The sequence below is a fragment of the Homo sapiens genome, chromosome 6, assembly GCF_000001405.40.
Source record: "Homo sapiens chromosome 6, GRCh38.p14 Primary Assembly".
Taxonomy (NCBI): Eukaryota; Metazoa; Chordata; class Mammalia; order Primates; family Hominidae; genus Homo; species Homo sapiens.
In genome coordinates, this window is record NC_000006.12 from 117,481,901 (window position 1) to 117,505,577 (window position 23,677).

At 40.6% G+C, this 23,677-nt stretch overlaps 1 protein-coding gene across 10 annotated transcripts in view, besides 4 other annotated features; it reads left to right on the forward strand.

The window, feature by feature from the left end:
- Positions 650-1,229: a silencer, noted in NCBI's record as "silent region_17499". NCBI's record gives its function as "represses an Ori minimal core promoter by ATAC-STARR-seq in GM12878 lymphoblastoid cells {active_cell/tissue: GM12878}" and the evidence as "EXISTENCE:reporter gene assay evidence [ECO:0000049][PMID:35858748]".
- DCBLD1 (discoidin, CUB and LCCL domain containing 1) overlaps positions 774-23,677 on the forward strand; it is an 87,185-nt gene continuing 64,281 nt past the window's right edge. For 8 of the 10 annotated variants that reach the window (NR_158983.2, NM_173674.3, XM_011535773.3 and 5 more), the window contains exons 1-2: positions 774-993; positions 21,867-22,079. Coding sequence is in view for 9 of the 10 variants with exons in the window: in NM_173674.3 (NP_775945.1) it covers positions 882-993; positions 21,867-22,079 (325 nt within the window). In the remaining variant the exon portion in view is untranslated. Of the gene's footprint in view, positions 994-3,049; positions 3,141-21,866; positions 22,080-23,677 lie in introns of all 10 variants that reach the window. The other 2 variants (XM_047418676.1, XM_011535771.2) reach the window with 1 other exon arrangement.
- Positions 1,590-1,669: an enhancer, noted in NCBI's record as "active region_25001". NCBI's record gives its function as "activates an Ori minimal core promoter by ATAC-STARR-seq in GM12878 lymphoblastoid cells {active_cell/tissue: GM12878}" and the evidence as "EXISTENCE:reporter gene assay evidence [ECO:0000049][PMID:35858748]".
- Positions 1,680-1,729: an enhancer, noted in NCBI's record as "active region_25002". NCBI's record gives its function as "activates an Ori minimal core promoter by ATAC-STARR-seq in GM12878 lymphoblastoid cells {active_cell/tissue: GM12878}" and the evidence as "EXISTENCE:reporter gene assay evidence [ECO:0000049][PMID:35858748]".
- Positions 1,760-1,809: an enhancer, noted in NCBI's record as "active region_25003". NCBI's record gives its function as "activates an Ori minimal core promoter by ATAC-STARR-seq in GM12878 lymphoblastoid cells {active_cell/tissue: GM12878}" and the evidence as "EXISTENCE:reporter gene assay evidence [ECO:0000049][PMID:35858748]".

The following is a 23,677-nucleotide window of genomic DNA, read 5'->3' on the forward strand; positions in this document are numbered from 1 at the left end:
GGCCCTTTCCTCCTTCAGCTTCTTTGCACAACTTGTCTGTTTTGGCTCCTGCTTTAATCTCAGCTTTGATGCCACTTAGGCCTTTCCTAGCTGATTCCCGCCCTCACCCCTGTTACCCGCCATCTAATTACAGCTCTCTAAATGTGCTTCAACAGCACCTTTCATGTCACTGATTGCAATTTGCATTGAATACTTGCCTGATTATTTTTGTCTGCAAGTGCCACATGGGTTTAGCCCTGCTCCTGACAAGCACACTGCTGAACTGAGTAACTTTTGAATGAATGAATGAATGAGTGAATAAATCAGTGAAGGTCCTACTTGGCACTGTCATCATCCTATCATCAAAATATTTCGAGTCCCTCGGTGTTGCTATCCCTGGCATGCCCATCCCCGCGGGCTGGCAAAACCCTGGAGGGGGCAGCCTCCCAAGGCACCGCCGCGGGCTCAGCCCATCTAGGAATGACTCCCGCACCACGCGGCGAGGGGCGGGTCCGGCGGCGAGGTGTCCTGCTGCCTAGCAGGTTCACGTGTACTGGTGCAGGTGGGGAGGAAGGCAAGGAAGGAGCGCAGCAGGGCGCGCCAGATACGTGGAGGGGAGCGCGGGCGGCGCCTCGCTCGCCTCCGGCTTCGCCGTCGGTCACTGCCTGGGAACGCGACTTCCTCCTCTAGGGGCCGACGTGCGGGGCGGGGCGGGGCCGGGCGGGAGACGCCCCCGCAGGGCTGGGCTGAAAGCCGCCCCAATGGGATTCGGTGCGGGGCAGCGACTGCGCCCCGTCCCGGCGCCGCGCTCGTCCGCAGAGGAGGCGGCCCGGCCCGGGCAGCTGCGGCTCGGGATCCGTCGAGGGGAGGCCGAGCTTGCCAAGCTGGCGCCCAGCGGGGTCATGGTGCCCGGCGCCCGCGGCGGCGGCGCACTGGCGCGGGCTGCCGGGCGGGGCCTCCTGGCTTTGCTGCTCGCGGTCTCCGCCCCGCTCCGGCTGCAGGCGGAGGAGCTGGGTGAGTGGAGCGCGTCCGGCTGGCGGCGGGACCCGAGGCGCCAGGGGCGGGCTGAGGGCTGCGGGGCGGGCCGGGCCGGGCCGAGGGCTACGGGGCGGGCCGGGCCTGGGGGGACGGAGCGCGGGAGGAAGTCGGGCTCGCCGCCTGCCATCCGCGGAGTCCGGCTCTACCCGCGGGGCTGGGGGTGAAGTAGGTTACTGCATTCCTTGTCGCTCCCCCACCAAACTCCTTCCTTCCCCCAAAACCAGAGAATTAACCTGGCGTCTCTGCACTTTCTCTCCGCCGCCCCCCAGCCCATTTCACTTAGTTTCCAGACTTCCTGACTCTGCTGGCCCCGTGAGAAGTGACCTGACCCCGAGGGTCGCCTTAGGGGACAGCCGTGTGCAGGGCCAGTTCTTTCCAGCTGCCTTTTGACAAAGCCGCTCCTCGGCCGGCGCTGGGCCCTGCCCTCCCTGCCGTCGCTCCTCCCGCGCGGAATTGGAATCCCGGCGTGTGCGTTCGGGGCTCGTGCGGAATGGCCGGGGCACGTTTGCCGAGGTTGGCCTTGGACGCTGGCGAGCAGGCGGTGCTGCCACCTCCTCTCGAGTGTCCTGCTGGCGCCGCAAGTTGGAATCGTGTGGCTTCCTGTGTATTTGAGCCGGTAGACTCTCAACCAGGCTGCTTTTTCTCTGGAGCTGGTCTTTGACTTGGAGTTAGACCTAATTAACCCACAACCGAGTTTACCCTCTGCCTGTCCAGCATATTAAAGCAGCAACCCCCTTTACCAGCCCTGGGTGTCCCTATTTCATTCGTCCTCATTAATTAGTGCTTTTTTTTTTTTAATAGCAAGGGCCAGCTTTCTGCCGAGTTGTTTCAGTGTTTCCTCTCCTCCCTTGCTCCTGGCCGTATATGCCTGAGCTTATTTAATGGCGCTGAGTCTATCCGGAGTACTTTGACAGCTCCCCCAACCACCATGCTTTCTGGTGAAACAAGAATCAAAACTAAAACCAATGCCGGCATTTTTTTCACTGAACTATGCCTCCATTCTGAAACATTGATACTCGAGATGGTGGTGGTGGTTCCTAAGTTTATATTACATACCAGTTTGTTTAAAAAAACAAAATCCCCAAAACCCTAAAGTGATTTTGTCTGGTACTGTAGCACAATACTAGGCAGATTGTAAAATTGTAATAAATACGTAAGATTTTGTTAAATGCGTAGGACTTTTATAATGGATGTTTTAAATATTTTTATTTTTTTCTCAACTCACAGTTTGAAGGTGCACCTTTAATACTATACGTCTGTGAGAATCAGTCCAGCAGTATGTTCCTGTACTAATCTGGCCAAAGCTGTCACTTATCTTTCCCAATAAAGATTTAGATTTTGTATGGTCATCCAGGCTGTTAACTGGGCACTTTGTGAGAGCGGTTCTCTAGGAACAAGTGTGATTGCTTAGATTCTTTTTAAAAACCTATTATCATTATTGTTATTTTTGAGACAGTGTCTCACTCTGTCGCCCAGGCTGCAGTGCAGTGGCACGATCTCAGCTCACTGCAGCCTCAACCTCCTGGGCTCAAGCAATCCTCCCACCTCAGCCTCCTGAGTAGCTGACACTACAGGTGCATCCCACCACACCTGGCTAATTTTTGTATATTTTGTAGAGACAGGGTTTAGCCATATTACGCAGGCTGGTTTTGAACTCCTGAGCTCAAGTGATCCACCCACCCCGGCCTCCCAAGGTGCTGGGACTACAGGCATGTGTGGTTGCTTAGATTCTTACTGGGCTTCAAATCTTTATAATTTTATAATGTTAGGGTTGTGATAAAATGCTACCATCTGTGTTATAGGCAATTTCGTATTAGACTTTTATTTATTGTGTGGTTTTAGGAAACAAATGGTATAACTTAACCTGAATGTTTATAAGCCTAATCAATACAATTAATTAATTTTTTGTGTGTCAGAGTCTGGTGACCCCATAAAGCTATACTGGGTCCTTTGTAGGGCAACTGCTTGCCTATCTGGTGTTTTTCTTGAATTAAAGTTTTAAAAAAGTGTCCACCCCTCCCGTTGTTTGCAGCCAGCCAGGTCCAGGCATTGGGGTTTAGTGGCCAGAGCTGGGATTATTTCGGCTCCTTATGCCCTGTTCTTCTGGATCCGTTTAACTAAAGGTACATATTTACATAGATTGTTTCACATAATTTTGACCTTTCATAATAAGACATTAAGTTGATCATTAGTTTTTATTCCACTTGTATAAATTCGTAGGTTTGGATTTAGTCCAAATTTATTACCTTGATATACATTTTTGTAGAATAAAATACCCTTCATTTGTGTAATGAATTTGTGCAACCTAAAACTCCCTGCTTCTCTCTCCACCACAAGATTTGCAAATGGTTATTAGCTAAAGTATTCCCTTGTGATTTAAGTGAAGAATCAAAATGAGCGCTTGATCTCTGAGGAAACTTCCAAGTGTAGATTCAAATCTTGCATACTTAAGAATTGCTTCAAAACCCTCTGCCCAACTCTTAATTTGTTATTTAGAAGGTCTGCTGTTAAATCATCTGTCATTTATTTTGGGTTAGACATAGGATCAGCTGATAGATGATGTTTTAGGTGAGTGGCTTTTTTAAAAATCAGCACAAATTTATTCTGTCACCTTCTGTACCAGTGTGTGCACTCACCCTTCTGTTGTCTCATCTGGACAGCTAGCCTTGTAGACTGTAAGATCCTGAGGGCAGAGACTGGGACTATATAGTCTTTGTCTTCCTAGTATCTGACAAAGGTGCTCAGTGTTCCTTGAGTTGAACTGAACAATCTCTTTGTGTTTAGGATATATTTTCAAATGACTTCCTAACTAATGGAAACCAAGTAATAAAGAGCCTACTGACATTCTTTATAAAGGTGTACATCTGCTGCTTCTACTAATTAATTTTGTTTATCAAGCCCAGCTCTCTTGGCATGCTTATTTCTATATGTAAGGATGCCTTTTAAATGAAAATACAGCAGAAAGAAGGGAACATGCCAGCAGAACAATATGTACAATATCTTTTGGCTCTAGTAGATATAATTTGTAACACTCAGAAACAGTGAGTTATATATTAATATTTCAGAGAAGAAAGAGGTTATGTTAAAAAATTCATTAAACAAATCAAATGGTATGTTTAAAGCAGAATTTGAACTCTGAATAATGTCCCAAACTGTTTTTATTAACTTTTCATGTTACAATTTGAACCCTTTAACCTTGTGGAACTGACACAGACTTGAAAATCATTTTAAAAAACCACAGCTTGGAAATTAGTAAGGCATCTGACATTTATGAGGAATTATGTCTTATTTTTAAGATACATGGGGGCATGAATTTAATTGCAGCATTTAGCAAAGGTTTTAGTTGTGTTAAAGCAGGGAAAAAAAGTTTGTTCTGGGAAATATACCCCATAGTGTTTACACCTATTTCTACATGTGTCTTAAAGCATAAAGTCAACTCTGTACGTATTAGAGCAATTAGTTGTTTTTCTTTATTAAAACAAATCAATAAATGTTAGCTATCTTAGTATTCATTACTGTTTATTACTATTGATTTGACAAATATTGAGGACTCTTTGTTCTGTCTCCTCCACTGCCTCTCTGACTTCATTCCCTGAAATGCTCCCCCATACTCAGGCCTCTCTAGCTGTTTGGTTTTTTTGCTATTTCTCCAAAATGACAAGCACTGTTCTACCTCAGAACCTTTGCACATGCTGTTCTCTGCCTGGAATAGTCTTGCCCCAAATATCCACAAAGCTTGCTCCTCCTTCAGTGTTTGTTTAGATGTTGTCCTCTCAGGGAGAACTTTCCTAAGCACTTGAAACCCTCTCTTCATTCCCAGAACTCCATATTCCCCTTCTTAGCTTTCAGTTTTCTCTAGAGCAGGGATCCCTAAGCCCTGGGCTGCAGACTGGTACCTGTCACTGGCCCGTTAGGAGCCGGGCCACACAGCAGGATGTGAGCAACAGGTAATGGAGCATTACCGCCTGAGTTCGCCTCCTGTCAGATCAGCCGGGCATTAGATTCTCATTGGAGCTTGAACTCTATTGTGAACTGCATGTTTGAGGCATCTAGATTGCCACGCTCCTTATGAGAATCTAATGCCTGATGATCTGAGGTGCAGCAGTTTCATCTAGAAACCATCCCCCTCCAACCCAGCCCCATACACGGAAAAATTGTCCTTCACGAAACCCGTCCCTGTTGCCAAAAAGGTTGGTGACCACTGCTCTGGAGCACTTACCCTCTTCCAACAAAGTGTATAATTTACACTTTAAATTGACTGCCTTCCTCCTACTAGATTATAAGGTCTATGAGTTTTGTGCCTTGAACAGTGGCCATATTGGGAGCTCAATAGGGGATGGGTGCTTAGTGAGGATGGGGTGAGAAGGCAGTGAAAACACAATTCCTGCCCTGTAAGACTCAACCTCACTCTAGTTACGAAATCAAAACTGGCCAGAGGTGGCTCACACCTGTAATCCCAGCACTTTGGGTGGTTGAGGCAGGCGGATCACTTGAGCTCAGGAGTTTGAGACAGCCTGAGCAACATAGCGAAATCCCATCTCTAGCGAAAATACAATAAAACTAGCCAGGTGTCGTGGTGTCCTGTGGTCTCGGCTACTCGGGATGCTGAGGTGGGAGGATCTCTTGAGCCTGGGAGACAGTGGTTGCAGTGAGCTGAGATTGAGCCACTGTACTCCAGCCTGGGCAACAGAGCAAGACCCAGTCTCAAATAAAAAAAGAAAAGAAATTAAAACCTGGACACGGCAAAGTAATGAAATTGTATGTCTAATCCAATGTTGAATGTAAAAGTCTGAAAGTACGTATGTAAAATAGAGAAATTCATTCTGGCATATTAGAAATTTGGCATTGAGGGTGAAGGGAAAAATACAGCCAGAATTTCAGATTTTTTTTTTTTTCATTAGACTGAGGAGTAGTTTTGCCTTTTTCCAAACTGAGGAGTCATGTGGATGTTATCTTCCAGATGTTTATTGTCTGCTTTGTATGTTAAAAAAAATAGTTGTTTGCCTTACTGGGTGAGGGAGACTTAGTTTATGGGAAAAATAAAGCAAACGCATGTGATGACTTCTTACCCGATGTGGAAATAGAGTCGTGACTGTGAGCGCTGGTATGCTGAATCTAGAACCAACTGTCAAACTTGCCTTTCAATGGGAGTTGAAGAGGAGGGGTTTTGTGGGATTGTGGGGTAAGCATTGGAGGATTCCCTAAGATCCATGAAAGCAGAGATGAATCTCAGCCTCTTCTTTCACCGCTAGCACCCAGTACGGTGCCTGGCACATAGCAGGCTCCGGGTAACTACTAGTTCCTGAGTCAGCGCATGAATGCTGTGGTTGAGGTTTGAAAAAATTGAAAGGAGGATAATATTCATGTTATTTTAAACAGAAATTGTATATATGACTATTGTGGAGCGTTAGGAAACACTGTGCAGGTATTTAAGAAAATAACTAGGCCGGGCAGGGCGGCTGACTCCTGTAATCCCAGTACTTTGGGAGGCTGAGGTGGACAGATCACTTGAGTCCAGGAGTTCCAGACCAGCCTGGGCAACATGGCGAAACCCCCGACTCTACAAAAAATACAAAAATTTGCCGGGCGTGGTGGCACATGCCTGTAATCCCAGCTACTAGGGAAGCTGAGGTGGGAGGATCCCTTGAGCCCAGGAGGCAGCTGTTGCAGTGAGCTGTGATGCTGCCACCGTACTCCAGCCTGGGCAACAGAGTGAGACCTTGTCTCAAAAAGAAAATAACTAAATTCAACTCTGAAAAGAACCGGGAATCTCTGAGACCCTTTTACAGGCAACAGCAGGAAAACTGCCATGAGTGAGGGGCCGGCAGTCTTGAGCAAATGATCCACTGATTTAGACCGGGGGTCCCCTATGGTCTGCTAATGCTTATACATTTAGGGTATCAGGGGCCTACTTCACCTCAAACATCATTTGGGGACAGTGTCTAGGCATTTGTGACATCAGCACTGTGTTAAGCCATATTGTCGTGTATGACTTTACTGTTTACTGCCATTTCTACTTGATTTATTAATCTCGTTATTAGCTATTTCCTTAGGAGCTACATGCTGTGTAATAATATACCCAATATTTGCAGAAATGCCTTGTGTCTTGTATATAATTATATATGATTGTATTAGTCTGTTCTGTGTTGCTGTAAGGGAATATCTGAGGCTGGGAAATTTATAAAGAAGATAGGTGTATTTGGCTCAAGTTTCTGCAGGCTGTACAGGCATAGCATAAGCGTCTGCTCAGCCTCTGGTGAGGGCCTCAGGAAGCTTGCGGTCATGACAGAAGGTGAAGGAGAAGCATGTGCATCACATAGTGAGAGACAGAGCAAGAGACATGCTCTTAACCATCCAGCTCTTGTGTGAAGTAGTAGCAAGAACTCACTTATCACCAAGGGGATGGTGCCAAGCCATTCATGAGGGATCTGTCCCTATGATCCAATACCTCTCACCAGGCCCCACCTCCAGCATTGGGGATCATATTCCAACATGAGATCTGGAGGGGACAAAACATCCAAACCATATCAACAATAATTTTAGGCTAGGTAGATTTTTTTGTAGGAAAAGCTGCAAAGGATAATACTGAAATGAGGTAACAGCTTAAGTAGCTCTGTGTTACCCCCATACCACCCCCCTTTTAAAAATAGAGCTGTGCTTGAGCTTTTTTAAAAAACAAAAAAGAGGCCGGGCGCCGTGGCTCATGCCTGTAATCCCAGCACTTTGGGAGGCCGAGGCGGGTGGATCACAAGGTCAGGAGATCAAGACCATCATGGTCTAACTCGGTGAAACCCCGTCTCTACTAAAAATACAAAAAATTAGCCGGGCGTGGTGGCGGGTGCCTGTGGTCCCAGCTACTTGGGAGGCTGAGGCAGGAGAATGGCGTGAACCCGGGAGGCGGAGCTTGCAGTGAGCGGAGATCACGCCCCTGCACTCCAGCCTGGGTGACAGAGCGAGACTCCGTCTCAAAAAAAAAGAATAAATTTCTCTTAGGTTGGAGCTTTCTTCCCTACTTTCCCAATGATCTTCCCTAATGCTTACAACAGAAGCAGAACAGTTGTGAAACAAAGTAGGGTGTCCATAAATAACATTGTCCTGATATATCATAATCATGGAAAATGCTACACATAGAACCATTGAGGACATGTTTTAGTTCTATATATTTTTATGTAAATGCACACACACACACACACACACACACACACACCCCTATAGCAAATACATGTGTGTACACACACATTTACTATTGTTTTTATTAAATATTGTGTAGACACAAAATTATAGACTATAAATAAAGGTATAAAGAACAACAATAAAACTAATACCTGGGTTCCCCCCTCTGCTCCCTAGTCTGTGTATGCTTTTATATTCTGATTTTTTAAATCTGTGTTTCATTGAAAGTTTTTTATTACTTGGAAAAATTCCATATTTATATTTATTTTAGAATTTGCCTTGAAGTAAACCAAAAACTTATTTCTAAGTCATTTATTGCTACTGAGAAATATCTAATAGGAAAGTGGAATTTTTGTCCAGGCCAACTTATAATTGATGTGTCTCGTCAATGTTTTTGTTTTATATTATTCAAATTACTCTCTCTTACTAATGGAGTCAAATAATTTGCCTATACATACTTTATTTGAGAAAAGTACATAAGTTTAAACATACTAAGTATCAGAAAGGTAAGGTGTATTTTTTTAATCCTTCTTTGGTGAGATTCTTAATTTGTATTGAATGGATCAGGCTTGTTCATTATTAGACTATTTGGAGTTTATTGAGACCCAAGTTAGTTTTTATAGTCAGCATCTTCAAACTCAAATTATAACCGCTGTTGTGGCCTTCTTATTCAGTGTTCAACATATTTACATTTACTGAAAAAGAATAGTCTTTGTTTTCTTTCTTCACAAAATTAAAATCCTTGCAAACTAATAATATGTATAGCTCCATTTTTGCATTTGAGCATGTTTAGTGATTGTGCTTAAAGGTTGAGTGTAAATGATTTTTAAGAAGCACGGTATTCTTGAAAAACAAAGGAAAGAAAAACTTTATTTCACTATTATTTCTGACAAAAAACAAGACAAAAGGATATTAAAAGTGTGATGTCCAGTTAAATTTGAATTACCAAGGCATAAAATTTCCTACAGGGAAAATAGATAAACATCTATGTGTTTGTTGCCTAACTTTTAAATGGCTGAGTGGATTTAATTCAGCCTTTTTATTGCTTTTCACAAAAGCAAGTTTACCTCATATTAAAATGTGGTTGATTTCAGCCCAAAAGAGAAAACTGTAGAGGCTTAATGACCCATGGGACCACTGGAACATGAGATTCATATATTTGAATTGCTTCCATTCTGAGGATTTTAGAATGGAGGCTGCTTATTTTGAGAATAAAATGAACCAAGGTTTGCCCCCATTCCGCCCACCATTTTTTTGGGATCCCTGGAAAGCTCCTGCTTTGCCAAGAGACTAAAATAGGAGATGGCCTATTGCAGACAGAAAAATGGCCCTGTACCTACTGTCACTGCCAGCTCAGAAGGGTCTACAAGTCTTTTGAGACTTCAAAATCTATTAATAAACTAAAAATTTATTAAGGATTTCTTGACTTTTTTCCTATTTCATTTGAATCTCTAAATATTTTCTTGCATAGCCACAATGTTATGAGCACACCTAAGAAAACTAATAGTTTTTCTTTAATATCATCTAATACTCAAGTCATATTCAAATTTCCCAAGCTATCCTAAACATGTCTTCTAACCTTTGGTTTGTACAAAGATCCAAACAAGGTCTACATATTAGTTATTATGTCTCTTTAGTCACTTTTAATCTATCACTGACCCCCACCCACATACTTTTTCTTTTCCTGCGAGGAAACCAGGTTCAGTTGTTCTGTGACACAGCTCACGTCCTAAAGTGTACTCACCGCTTCAGAGTAGTTTATCTTTTACTTGGTGCGCTATACCTGTATTTCTGTATAAGCCCGAAATTTGACCTAAAGACTCGATTAGATTCAGACTAAGTGTTTTTGGTAAAAGTACTCAAAGGTGCTATGTACTTCTAATTGTATCACAATAGGACGCATATGTTATTATTGTTGTGATTATTGCTCCACTTTTAGTGATGCTCAGAATCACCAGTGACTTTAGGAAGTGATACATCGATCTCTCCATTATAAAACTGCCGTCTCTCTATGAGTTACAAGTAATCTTTGGAATGTTAGTTTCTGACTCAGTAAAAGTATTTCCCTGTCAACAATTCACTGTATGGTTTAAGCATCCAATCACTGTTGTTGCTTGTCCAGTCTGATTTTTCATATAGACAAATTTTAAACCTCTATCTTCATATGTATTTTGAATCGTTGTATGTTTTTTACATCGAATTTAATCCCAACAATTCTGAGAGCTATTGAGGGAACTGAGATTCAGAGAAATAATTATTTACCCAAGACACATTTACTTTGTGTGCCCAAAGTGGGAACCAGGCACGTATCTTACAATTCTAAATGCCTTGAAATGGTTTCCTGCCCTTTGTCTCCAAGGATACCCATCATATGTTCCTATCCAGGGGAGAAAAAGTTAGAAAAGAAGTCATAGGGGAACACAGTTTGAGGGAGTTACTTATGCAATTAAGCCTGAAATTCATAGTCTTTGGTTTATATTTGAGGTGATCACATTTGCCATAGAAATATTAAGATTTTTTAAAGTCCTTACTGGTAGCTAACCATTGCTTTTATAGCATTGCAATACATCCAGCAGTGCAGAATATGGAATGTGCAAAAGCAGTAAAGTTTTCAGGACTGGACTATGATATGAGTTTTATGAGGTTTATTTTTTCTCTCAACTCTCATGTTTCATACCTTATTAGATGTATGATAAGACACCATATGTCTCCCCAGTGAGATTTGCTATTTTCTTGTCAGTAAACATTGATTGCTTGTTCCGTGGATATGGTGCATAAACCTACGCTTGCACAAAGCTTCCCATCCTATTTCTTTGTTTATTTTCCACAGTATGCTCAAGTAATTCCTGAATTGACACTTTTATCCAGGTTTCAGAAATGCCATTTTGGCTTAACTATAGATCGTGGAACTTATTGTTGCCTGTCCTAGACTTATAAATGAAATCTGGAGTGAAAATAAGTATCAGATACAGATGTGTTCCAATTTTAGGAATAGATACTAAAATTAAACCATACAAAATTTTTATCTTGAGGATTTTCTTTCACTTTAAAAAATATTCATGGCAATATCCCTCTTAATAAGGAGGGCTTTTTCAGTCTGTTGCTACTCAGAATATATCTTACAGGATCCAACAGAACAGTCACTAATAAGAGCTTTTTGGAAATGTAGAATTTCCAGGCCCTGCATTTTGACAAGATCCCCAGGTGATTAGTTTGCATACTGAAGTGTGAGAAGTAGCACTTTAATACACTGACACCTTCTTTTACAAAGCATCTTTCAGGAGCTAAGCAAAGTGAACAACCTTTGTTGGAAGTAAAATAGGCACCTCTCATTAGACCTTTCCCTTAATAGTCTAGTAAAGAGTACTTCGATAATTTAAAAAAGGGGATGATAGAACTTCTCATATCATAATTTTTACAAAAAAACTCCTAATTAAACATGACTTTTTTCTCATGTTAATTTTGAGACAAAAAGAGTATGACTACAAAAAACTAAATATCAGTTATGCTGCTCAGCAGTAATGTGAGATTGGGCAATGTCTTAAATATCGCTACCTCAGTTTTGTCACCTCTAAGATGGGTGACTTAGGCAGTAGTGGCACTAGAGCACATGATTCCATTCCATCGTCTTTGAGGTCAGACTAGCTTCAGGTTAGGGTCTGATCCCAGCCCAGCCACATGGGCTGAGTTATGCTGCATCTCAGAGCCTTGACTCCTTCACACACAGAATAGAGATAATAGGAGGGATGTGTGGTGAAGAAAGGGTTTTGTGGGCTTCAGTTTTGTTGTATAGGAGATGTCCTATCTTATAAGCTACTGGGTATACACTTTGATGTTTGTGAAATTACTCTTTGTATGTGTGTATCTGTATATATATGTGTGTGTGTATATATGTGAAATAATTTGTAATCAATTTTTAAAAACTATCATTATCAGATATGGTTGTCATGAAGGCTAAATAAGGTAATATGAAGTCCTTAGAACACTGTATCTGCTACTTTTTACAATGAATGTTTGGTAAATGCTAGTTTTTAGTAAGGGCCCTTTCATAATTTTATTTTTTTCCTTTCCCAATAACTTTTTGGCTCTCAATTTTTAAAAAACTATTATCTGTGAAAGTGAAAGCTCACATCTATGTGCAAAGGAGAAGTGTTTACAGTTTTAATTTATAAAACTCAGTTTAACTTTGTCTTTACTTGGTAATATTGGATTTTTCTGGACTCCAGAGAGAAAAGTCAATATCAATATTACACTTTATCTGAATATTGGCAGTATGCATATTTAACATGAAACCAAGGTGAGAAAGCTAGCATGTTCCAGCGGCAGGAAAGATTTCTTGACTTATCTTCAGCTGAAGCAGTGGCAGCTTGGATATTACATCAACATCCTGACATTATTAACAAAGGTCAGCAGCCTCTTTTCTCTGACTTCCTTATTCTAAGCATCTATTCAACAGAGATAAAACAGTTGTCTTAGAATTGTTTCGCTGTACAAACAAGTTTTTTTTTTTTCTTAAAAGTCTTCTTTGAAATTAAGAAACTTCTCTTAACCAATGTGTCCAGTTTGTTGTAGATGCCCACAAAGGACTTGTAACTTAATAACAACAGTGAGAAAAGTCTTGCTTTTGAATCAAGTCACATAATATAACTTCAGTATCATTTTTAGAACTCCAGAGGCCAAAGTCCACTTCTCCACGTAAGATCTTCAATCCCAGAAGCCCTATCATGGGATCTCTCTGTGTGTCCCACTTGTGAGAGTCTAACCCAGGAGTTCACCAGTATGTCTCACAGAGCACTACTCCCAGGAGATGCCCCAAGAGGAAAGAGTTTTCTGGGAAATACTGTAAACTGCAACACGCATCAGAGCTTCACTATACACTGTAAGGGCTTTGAGATGTTCTGTGGTAAAGAAAAAGGTGGAATTCTGCAAGCTTACTGACCTTGCAGCTCTTTTGAGGAGGGTGAGGGCATAACCCCCTGGTAAACCACCCAGACTAGTACCACAGTATCTACTTCAGGACATGCTGACATAGCAGTAAGTGGGCATTAGATAAATACTGGGAAATGCATTCTAATTAGACTTTCTCAGCCGATTAAAGCACACACACACAGCCTTATTCATCTTCACCACACCCAGTTATGGTTGGTAATTTTACAGATGAGGAAAATTGATATACACTAAATGGGGGATTTCTTAGGATCATACAGCCAATGGGTGATGGAATTTGGACAAAGTCAGCTAATTCAAAGCAATATTTTTGATACTTTAATAATGTGTAGAATTTTAAGATAAAAATAGTAGCAGTTAACATATTGAATTTTTACTATATGGTTGCCTCTGTGCTTGATACTTTGTTTTTATTAGCATTCTCCCTTTTAATGCTCATGAAATTGGGCACTATTGTTGTCTTTAGATTATGGATGATGGAATTCAGTTTTACCTTAGAGAGGTAAAAAGACTCACCCAAGGCCACAAAGCCAGTGTTAGGCAGGGCTGTGCCAGAATCCAGGTTGTAACCATTATGCTCTGTCACCTCCCAAGTATATGGAAATAATTTATGAATTAGGAAATGATAGGTGTGTCAACTCTCCTCCCCCACATCCACAAGCCTTCTAATAATCTTTTGCTTTTCAGCAGAAGTCTCAAGACTGGAGAGTGACCAAAAACTGCAGTGTTCACTGATTTTATGTATAGCACATTAAAGAATAGCATTGGCTAGATTTTGAGATTTTTTTCCTTTGGCAGCAAATTATGAATCTTTTAAATATCTTAACATGGTAATTATTGATGTCTTTGGACACTGATGGAAGTAATCCCACATTATATAGGGAATCATAGAGGAATCGTAGATAGGATCTCTTTAAATGATTTGATTCATTTTCATACATTCAGACTGATTTATTTTAAGTGACACTTTTAGCTGATAGGAATGTTGAAAGTTTCCACAGAGAGACTTTTGACATATTCCTTGTGTTTCCTTTTATTTTACTTTCAAATGTTTCATCTGCTGAGTCAACAGCATTATCATCCTTATTAGATCACTAGTCATATCATTAGCATCTATTTTATATGTGGTGAGAATAAAGTTGAAAGAGATTGTCAGTTTTATAAAACATGGTCATGTGTTTCTAGTCGATAGCTGTAACTTCTTTCAGCATAGTATTATTATCCATATTCCTTTCAGAAAAACTGAAGATTTTGAATAATTATTTTGTTTTATCATTACAAGTTCTGTTTTGCCTTTGTTCATTCTCACATAGCAACTGAGGCCCTTTTGCTCCTGTTTTTCTTTTGCTTCTGGCGGCCTACAAGGTAAAAAGCTAAGCACAATTGAAGAAGAGCAAAGTTTCTAAGAGAGTAAGGCTGAGAATGGAATTAATGATATCTTGGAAAATCTGTTTGCCCTACCATCAGACAAAACTCTGTAATAATTGCAAGCTCTCCTTTGTGGTTGAAAAGATTGTAGTCATCAAGAGCTCACTTGATCTTAGACATGGGAAGAAATTTTCTCACACCCACACATGGATGATTGTATATGTGTTGAGACCTGTTGTAACTTGAATATTAGAAGAGCAAGGATACAACTAATGAAATCATGTTTTTAGAAATGGTTTTACTTTTGTGATATTTTAGAGCACTCTTTCCCAAGTTGCAGGTTAGGACCCATTAATAGGTAATGAAATCACTTCAGTAGGCACAACCAGTATGCTTTGACAAAAACAAAAATGAAACTGAATAGAATAGGAAATAATCACAGTGCATTACATGTAATAAAATAGTGGTATCATTTAACTTTTGTTCATTGTTTATGCATGTGTATGCATATGTGATTACTTGAGGTGTGATAAAAAAATCTGTGTTCTAACTCTAGGCCATAATAATAATTTTAAAAAAGCTTGAGGTTTCTGTCTTACTCTAAGGACTAGTTAATAATCAATCTAAAAAGTATATGTGATTAGCCGGGCTTGGTGGTACATGCCTGTAATCCCAGCTAATCGGGATGCTGAGGCAGGAGAATTGCTTGAACCTGGGAGGCGGAGGTCAGTAAGCCGAGACTGCGCCACTGCACTCCAGCCTGGGCGACAGAGCAAGACTCCGTCTCAAAAAAAATTTAAAAAAAGTATATTTGCACTGTTCAATTTACTCCACCCAAATCATTTTCCAACAAGTGCAATTCAGTTACAAGTTTTCTTTTAAAGTCTAATCATACTTTCTAGTATTGCAGAACTTAGTCCATACCAGGTATATCTTATTTTGCTTTTCTTTTAGTGGAACATGATTTCTTATCAAAGGGAAATAGTCTTTTAAGGAAGTTATTGTTTTCCTTTTGTAGTGGATGGAATTAAAGTAGACTAAATAAAGGATTGGCTTGTGTATACAAGCATCTAGGATTTGTTCTAAGCTTATTTAGAAAGTAGCTTGTATATCGACAACTCTTGAATAGCTGATGTTAAAAGCTAAAAGGTAGAGACCTATCCATTAATTTCAGGCATTTGGAGAATAGATACTGAGTCCATATCTCTGTAACTCTGTCAAGTTAGTCTCAAGAATTTACTTGTTAATATATCTTTCTTCTCTTGACTGGACTTCTTGAAGTGAGAACTACAGTATACTAAGTTCCTAGTTGTTTGTTTCCTGAATTTTTAATGACAGTCCGTGACTTCTTCCTATCTGTATTATGAGGCTAATGTTGAAAGTAGCCTTTAGTGTTACAAAGAATGTTAGGTGAATTTGGTAGTTTTAATTATATTATTTTTCTCCTTTATATGTATTCATATTATAGAATATTTAGAGGAAAAATGTATAAATAAAATGAAAATCACTTGTAAACTTATACCATAGAAGTAAACACTTTAAATATTACACATCTATGTGTGTACAATATATTCTGTATTAAAGTGTTTTCATGTTAAATATTCTTCTAAAACATGAGTAACTTCCTTAACATCACATTGCTTGGAGATATCAGTTTGGCTGTTCATTTCTAATTTAGATTGTTTCCAAATGTTCAGAATTAAAATCTGTATACTTAAATTCTGTACATAGATCACTTTGGGAGTTCTGAAATATTCATGAATACTTGCACCTTTTTCCAGAATCTAAACTTCATACATCTAGTTTTGTTCTTGTAAATTGTTTTGAGGAAGTGGTGGTCAGTGTCACAAACCAGCTGTGGCTCCAAACAGACACCAGGATTTAGGCCCATTACAGAGAGACCACCCTGGAAATATTCTACAGTTGAGAGGAGCTTTCAGTCTAGAAGAGGAGGAAATGATACTTAGTTTAGTCATCATGTGCTTTGGCAAGAAATTACAGTCGAAAGGAAGGAACAGATAAACATTGTGTGGTGTAGCCACTTTGAAGAGTGGTCAAATTCCCTGTGGCAAAACTTCCTCCTCCCCTCTTCATTCCCCATTCCCCCTATTTTGATGTTAGATAGGTGGCACTTTACTGTGTCACTCCCGGCCTATCCTCCCCACAACACTACTTGGAGTTTAATCATAAGATCGTGGTTTTATTTTTTTCCCTTAAAGATGGATCTTTATTTCTTTTAATTTTTAATATTCTTAGAACTGTGAGCCCTCATCATCCATCTATAGCAACCATCAACATTTCTCCGTATTTTTTCATTTATTCTGCATCACCTCTTTTTTGCCAGGTATTTTAAGGCAAATCCCAGACCTTATGTCATTTCAGCCCTGCATATGTCAGTAGGCATCCCTCAAAAAAATGGCATTTTCTTATGTAGCCTCAATGCCATTATCTCACCTAATAAAATTATAATTATCTGAAATTATTTAATATCTCAATTATCTATTTAAAAGATTTTATAAGGTTGGTTTTTCAAATCAGGATTCAAGCAAGTCTCACTTAATTGCTATGGCACATAAGTGTCTTTTAAATCTAAAATAAACACTTTTTTGTGTGTGCCTCTTCATTTAATTCATTGCTGAAGAAACTGGGTCAACTGTATTTCATAGAGAGCTTTTTTTTGCAGATCTGTTTAATGCTTTAATTAAAAGAATTTTAGGCTAGGTGCAGTGGTGCACACCTGTAATCCCAGCATTTGGGAGGCCAAGGCGGGAAGATCGCTTGAGCCTAGGAGTTCCAGACCAGCCTGGGCGACATAGTGTGGCCCCCATCTCTACCAAAAAAAAAAAAAAAAATCTGCCAGGTGTGGTGGTGTGTGCCTGTAGTTCCAGCTACTTGGGAGGCTGACGTGGGAAGATTGCTTGAGCCTCAGAGGTCGAGGGTGCAGTGAGCTGTGATTGTGCCACTGTATTCCAGCCTGGGTGATGGAATGAGACCGTCTCAAAAAGAAAAAGAAAAAAAAAAGAGAAAAAGCATACAGGATAACAAAATGCAAAGAGTATAAAAAAGTATAAAATAGAAAAAGTAAAAGCCTCCTCACTTCCATCCCCAGCCAGGCAAACTTGATTGACATTATTTTTTCAATTATTTAATTAACCTTTTTATTTTCAGATCATTGTAGATCACATGCAATTGGAAGAACTAATACAGAGAGATATTGTATACATTTTACCTAGTTTCCCTCAATTATAACATCTTTGCAAACTACAATACCATATCACAACCAGGATACTGACATTGATACCTAAGACAAAGAAGATAAACTGATAGATTTTTAAGTAACTTTTGTCTTCTTTGTCAGTGATTGTCAATTAGAGAGAGTCAGGCTATGAGAGGTAGGCTACCTGAGTGTCAGAATGAGGTAATAAGAATAATGCTTCTCCTCATCTCTACTAAAAATACAAAATTAGCTGGGTGTGGTAGCGCATGCCTGTAATCGCAGCTACTCAGGAGGCTGAGGCAGGACAATCGCTTGAACCTGGGAGGCGGAGGTTGCGGTGAGCTGAGATCGCACCACTGCACTCCAGCCTAGGCAACAAAAGCGAAAGTCCGTCTCAAAAATAAATAAATAATACTTGTCTATTGGTTTTCATGTGTACGCATCTGCCTTCTTCAACACATGACATTGTAGGCATTTTCTCTCCCTAGCAGTTTTTCATTTTACCCTTTGGCATCTTTCTACTTAATCCTTTGAAATCACCCAAACTGTGGAAGCACAAGAGAGTGAAAATTCCTGATGTAGTTAATACCCATGGAATAAACTTATTATATTAGTCTTGCCACAGAAAACTCCATAAATAGTCTACTTCCATAGGTTAGAGTGATACTAGAACTTCTGATGACAGTTCGCTTTTTAATAAATTAGGACTCAGCACTTCCTTTGCGATTCAGGTTCTTTGGCAGAACAAAGACTCATGGGGTTTTGTTCTGATAGTTAATGGAAGAGAGAAATTTTCCCAAGGAGGTAGAGATCCCCAGGCAAAGTAACGATGGGAATGTTGACGATTTGAACTTGCCTGCATTGTGCCAGCATTGCTGGGTGAAAGAAGTTTCCTCTTAGGCCTTACAGTGGAAGTGGTCGGAAAGAAATACAATTACAGGGCTGAATAAAAGTGATACCCTGGCCGGGTGCGGTGGCTCACGCCTGTAATCCCAGCACTTTGGGAGGCCGAGGTGGGTGGATCATGAGGTCAGGAGATCGAGACCATCCTGGCTAACACGGTGAAACCCCGTCTCTACTAAAAATACAAAAAAATTAGCCGTACGTAAATGCACCTGTCGTCCCACCTACTCGGGAGGCTGAGGCAGGAGAATCGCTTGAACCCAGGAGGCAGAGGCTGCAGTAAGCCAAGATCCTGCCACTGCACTCCAGCCTGGGCGACAGAGTGAGACTTCGTCTCAAAAAAAACAGTGACACCCTAAGATTTTCTTTTGCTGACACATGTCACTTTAAAAAAATAAAATTTAGAATATGATAGTCACATGTAGGTTGACTCATATAATTGCTCCTTATTTCATATTTAACTGTTTTCTGAAAAAAAAAAAGTTTTTCTCTTCCTCTTTTATGAAAGGAGAATTTCATAGTCCTAAGAAAAGTGACATTTAAATATTTGATCAGGAGATTTTTTGGTGGCTTGGAGAGGTTGTGTTGTGTTTATATTGAGATGCATATTTGTTTGTACTAATTACCCTAGGATTGCTTTATGAGGGTGCTCAAAATAAATGCTTACAAAGGTAGGGCAGGTAACAGAAATGAGTAACAAGGACCTGGTGAAGAACTAGGGTGTTTGGCTCCTTTCAAGGGACAGCCACTGTGTCACTAGCCCTGTGAGAATGCCTGATCATGTGGTTGTCACGTCTTTCAGTTGTCATTGTTGTTGTTGTTGTTGTTGAGACGGAATCTCACTCTTGCCCAGGCTGGAGTTCAGTGGCATGATCTCAGCTCACTGCAACCTCTGCCTCCTGGGTTCAAGCGATTCTCCTGCCTCAGCTTCCCGAGTAGCTGAGATTACAGGCTCGCGCTACCATGCCCAGCTAATTTTTGTATTTTTAGTAGACACAGGGTTTCACCATGTTGGTCAGGCTGGTCTCGAACTCCTGACTTCAGGTGATCCGCTGCCTTGGCCTCCCAAAATGCTGGAATTACAGGCATGAGCCACCACTCCCAGTTTGTCCTTCAGTTTTAAAGAGAAACTATAAATTGGATATTTTATTAAAGCCCTTTAAAGCCGACAAATAATTCAGATTTCAAATCAAAGCCCCGTGCACTGTGTGCTCCTGCACACTATGCTTCTCTCTTGTATCATTTTCATTTAATTCTTGGCAATTTTGTGTTTACCAACTGCCAGGGAGCCCAAGGAATTTAGCCGTCACCTCAAACTTAACCAAACTTACAACCTTTGGGCCCAAACCTGCTCCCTCTCTGGACTCTTTTTGCTGTCTATATTGGCCTCTGTGTTGCAATCATTTCTGGACTGAACAAGGCCTTGGTGTTTTTTCTCCTTTGTTCTTCTCACCATAGTTCCCCCAAACCTGAGTCTGTTGATTTTGTCTCAAGAATTTGCCTGTTTTCTGTTCCCTTCCTTCCTGTTCCAGCTACCCCCATTGCTAGCCTGCCTACTGCTCCTCTGATCCAGATTCTGTCCCCATTCTAGTTCCTGTAGCGTTGTCCAGCCAGGTTGATCATCTTTTTCTAATACCTGTTTCGTTATCTTCCTACTCAAAAAATTCTATGTGTCTTTGTTGCCTACCATGTAAATTTCACTAATTCTGCCTAGATCTCAGGGCTTCATAGTAGTTTTATCTTGGCTGTCTAAAGTTCCCCCCGGCACTTCTTAACCCATTGGTCCATTAAAGCCAACTCTATTTCCCCAATTCAGCCCTCTGTCAGGGGCTGCCAGGAATCTCGTGGGAGTTTCTGGATAATGGGTAGATCCTTTCCCTAGGCCTTGGCTGTTGAGATGATGTAGATTCTGGAGTTTTCAAATCTTTTTCTTTTTTCTTTTTATTTTTTAATAAACCTCTATTACCATTTGGCCCCAACACCTCAAGGCAAGAAGGAAGTGGAATAAAGGAAGACTCCTGAATCCACCTCTAACTGGGGAAGAGGCTGGGAGGGAAGAGGGCTGCTTTGAGGTCCTCAGATTCACAGTATACCCAAGGTGAGGCTTCTCCATCAGAGACTTTGGGATGGAGAGGCCTTCTTTTACTACCTTTGAGAGTTCCTTCTTCAACAGCTTTCTGCTTCTCTCCCTCCAGCTGAGACCAGAAATTTTTGCTTCATTTATGTGAAGCTGTGCTAACCACAGACATTTTGCAATCTGAATGCAGTGTATGCTCATTCTCCTTGCAGCCCACCCAGTTGTGCATGTCCTTGGATAGTTGTGTGATTGACTAAGTCACTTCAATCAACTAGAGCAACTTGTAGGTTAATAGGTGAACTTCCCTATTCAGAAAAGTCTTCAGATAATTTCTTGTTTTGATGAAATGCTGGTAATTCGCTGCAACATTCTTTCTTGCCTCTCTCCTTTGCATTTTGTTTAGACCCCTGATGTATATATAACACATAGCACCTAGAATTATAGTTATTTGAATGTGTGACTATTTGCCATTTTACTCTGAGTTCTATGAGACAGCAAGTGCTGCTTTTGTGTTTCCAGCTTTTAATACCATGTCTGGTTATGAAAAGCACTCAACATAGTAGATCCTTGACATTTTCTGATTGTACATCCCAAGTCTATGAGGAACTTTAGAATCTGTGAGTGTCATTAACTAAGACATACATTTCAAATGATTATTAGGCTCAGTCCCCAGCTAAATGACTTGTAGCTAAACAAAGTTACATCAGCTTAAGCCTCAGATTCTAACAGGAGCATTTTCTGTACATTATCTCATTTAATCAGCACAACCACCTTCTAAAGTGAGTAATATTTTTTCTCCATTGTGAATTATTACATGACATTTGGCTTGGCAAATGCATGCAAGGCCTGCTGAGCAAGTTTGGACGGGTGGAGAGATAGATGATTAGAAAAAATAATGATTAAATGATTTGTTTCCTAAGGGCTTTCCGTTCTAATGTGTGAAATGTTTTGATCAACAAGAAGATAAAACTGGAAAACAAGAGATGAAATAACCTGAAACAATAGATATTGTTTAATAATTCAGTCTTCTTTTTTTGTTTTTTGGTTTTCCTTCTGCCCAAAAACAATAAAATACATAACTTGGAGATTGTATTGGACTCTCAATCCTCAGTAAGAATTAATGACCCCTTCTTCTTTTATTCCCCCCTTCTTTTTCTTTACCAGGTGATGGCTGTGGACACCTAGTGACTTATCAGGATAGTGGCACAATGACATCTAAGAATTATCCCGGGACCTACCCCAATCACACTGTTTGCGAAAAGACAATTACAGTACCAAAGGGGAAAAGACTGATTCTGAGGTTGGGAGATTTGGATATCGAATCCCAGACCTGTGCTTCTGACTATCTTCTCTTCACCAGCTCTTCAGATCAATATGGTAAGAAAAGAGAACTAGGTTTCTCTGAGCATCAAAATTTTTGATATTTGCAGAGAAGGGCAAGTGGTGTGTTAATTAACGCTATATCATGAGAAGATTAGAAGAGAAACTTGCTTCTGTAAATTCTTGGGGGTAACTTAGAAGGATACATTTGCTTCATAAGCTGAAACAGCAAAAGACATCTAAGGAGATGTGAGCCTTGTGTGTGTGTCTCAGAACCTTTGTTAGAGTTTCAGTGCTGCTAGGAAGAGAATTAGAGATACGTGACATTTGGTAAACCATCTATACAGTTCATTATTCATTTGACAAATATTTATTGAATAGAACAGTGACCATGTTTCAGGTACTCTGTCAGGAACTGGGATGTAACAGTGAAAAAACAAAGTTCCTCTATGAAACTTGCATCTGTGGGGAGAGGAAGGCAGAAAATAAGCAAATGCATCTGTAGTATGAGAGATGGTGAGAAAGAAAAGGAATAATGAAAACGAAGGCATCCAAAGGTGATGTAGAGCCTGCGTTTGAGTGTTTTTGTGCCACTTCAAATGGGATGGTAGGGAGGCATCATCAGTAAGTGGACATTTGAGCAGAGACCCAAAACGAGGTAAGGGAATGGACTGTTCCGTTACGACTGAGGTCAGAATTTTCTGGGGAAGAAAACAGCAAGTGCAAAGGTCAGTTTCCTAAATAGCCTTTGAAATTTAGTGTTTTGTGCTTTGAGATGTGCTGTTAGCGCACTGCAACCTGAAATCACAGTAACAATGACCCTTTGATCCTAAGCCCAAGGAAATAGCTCAGGTTGGACAATTTGAAAACGATAACAAAATCTTACATACATTCTTTTGAGTATAGAGATTTTCTGAAATTCTCTGTGCACACAACTTTTAAAATGATATAGGTTTTAGGTAAAATCCTGTCTGCCTGGTAGCTCTACTGATAATTTCTCAAACACACACAGCTTTCTCACCTGTCTTGACCTTTGCACCCAGAGTTGCTTCCTCATTCCTGCTGCCTCTTCCCACAGTTTAGAAGCCCAGATCAGCCCTGAGACGATTCAGAAATCTAAACTAGCTCCCATGGGATAAAAAGATCTAAGATTGTTTTTTAATCCCTAGGAGCATTGATTGTTTTTTAATCCCTAGGAGCATTGTCTATTTAATGATGGTTGAGTTCCTCCGACAAAGTCAAGATGGTAGTTTCCATATAATTGTTGGTAACTTTTTAACTGTAGTTTGACTCAAATGGGCAGGATGACACTTCCAGGGATGCTGAAGGCCCCTGGGAACATTTATTGTTCCATTACCTCTGGTAATCTAATGTGTATTAACTTATGGAGGCATTTGTCAGGGAGTCCCTCATTAGCCAGGAGATTTCTCTCAGATTCTGAGGAGGGGGTAAGTGTCAGAGCTGCAGTGTGAAAAGTGATGCAAAGTGCTGCAGGGCCGGAAGCAGCTTTTCCACACGGGTCTCTTGGGGGAAGCATCTGCCTTGCCTGGAAGATGAGCATTTCATTCCACCTGCTGACATAACAGTGGAGGAATCATTTTGTTGCATAAGACTCTGTCACGTCAGAGGCTGAAGTGACAGCAACTAAGGGAAGC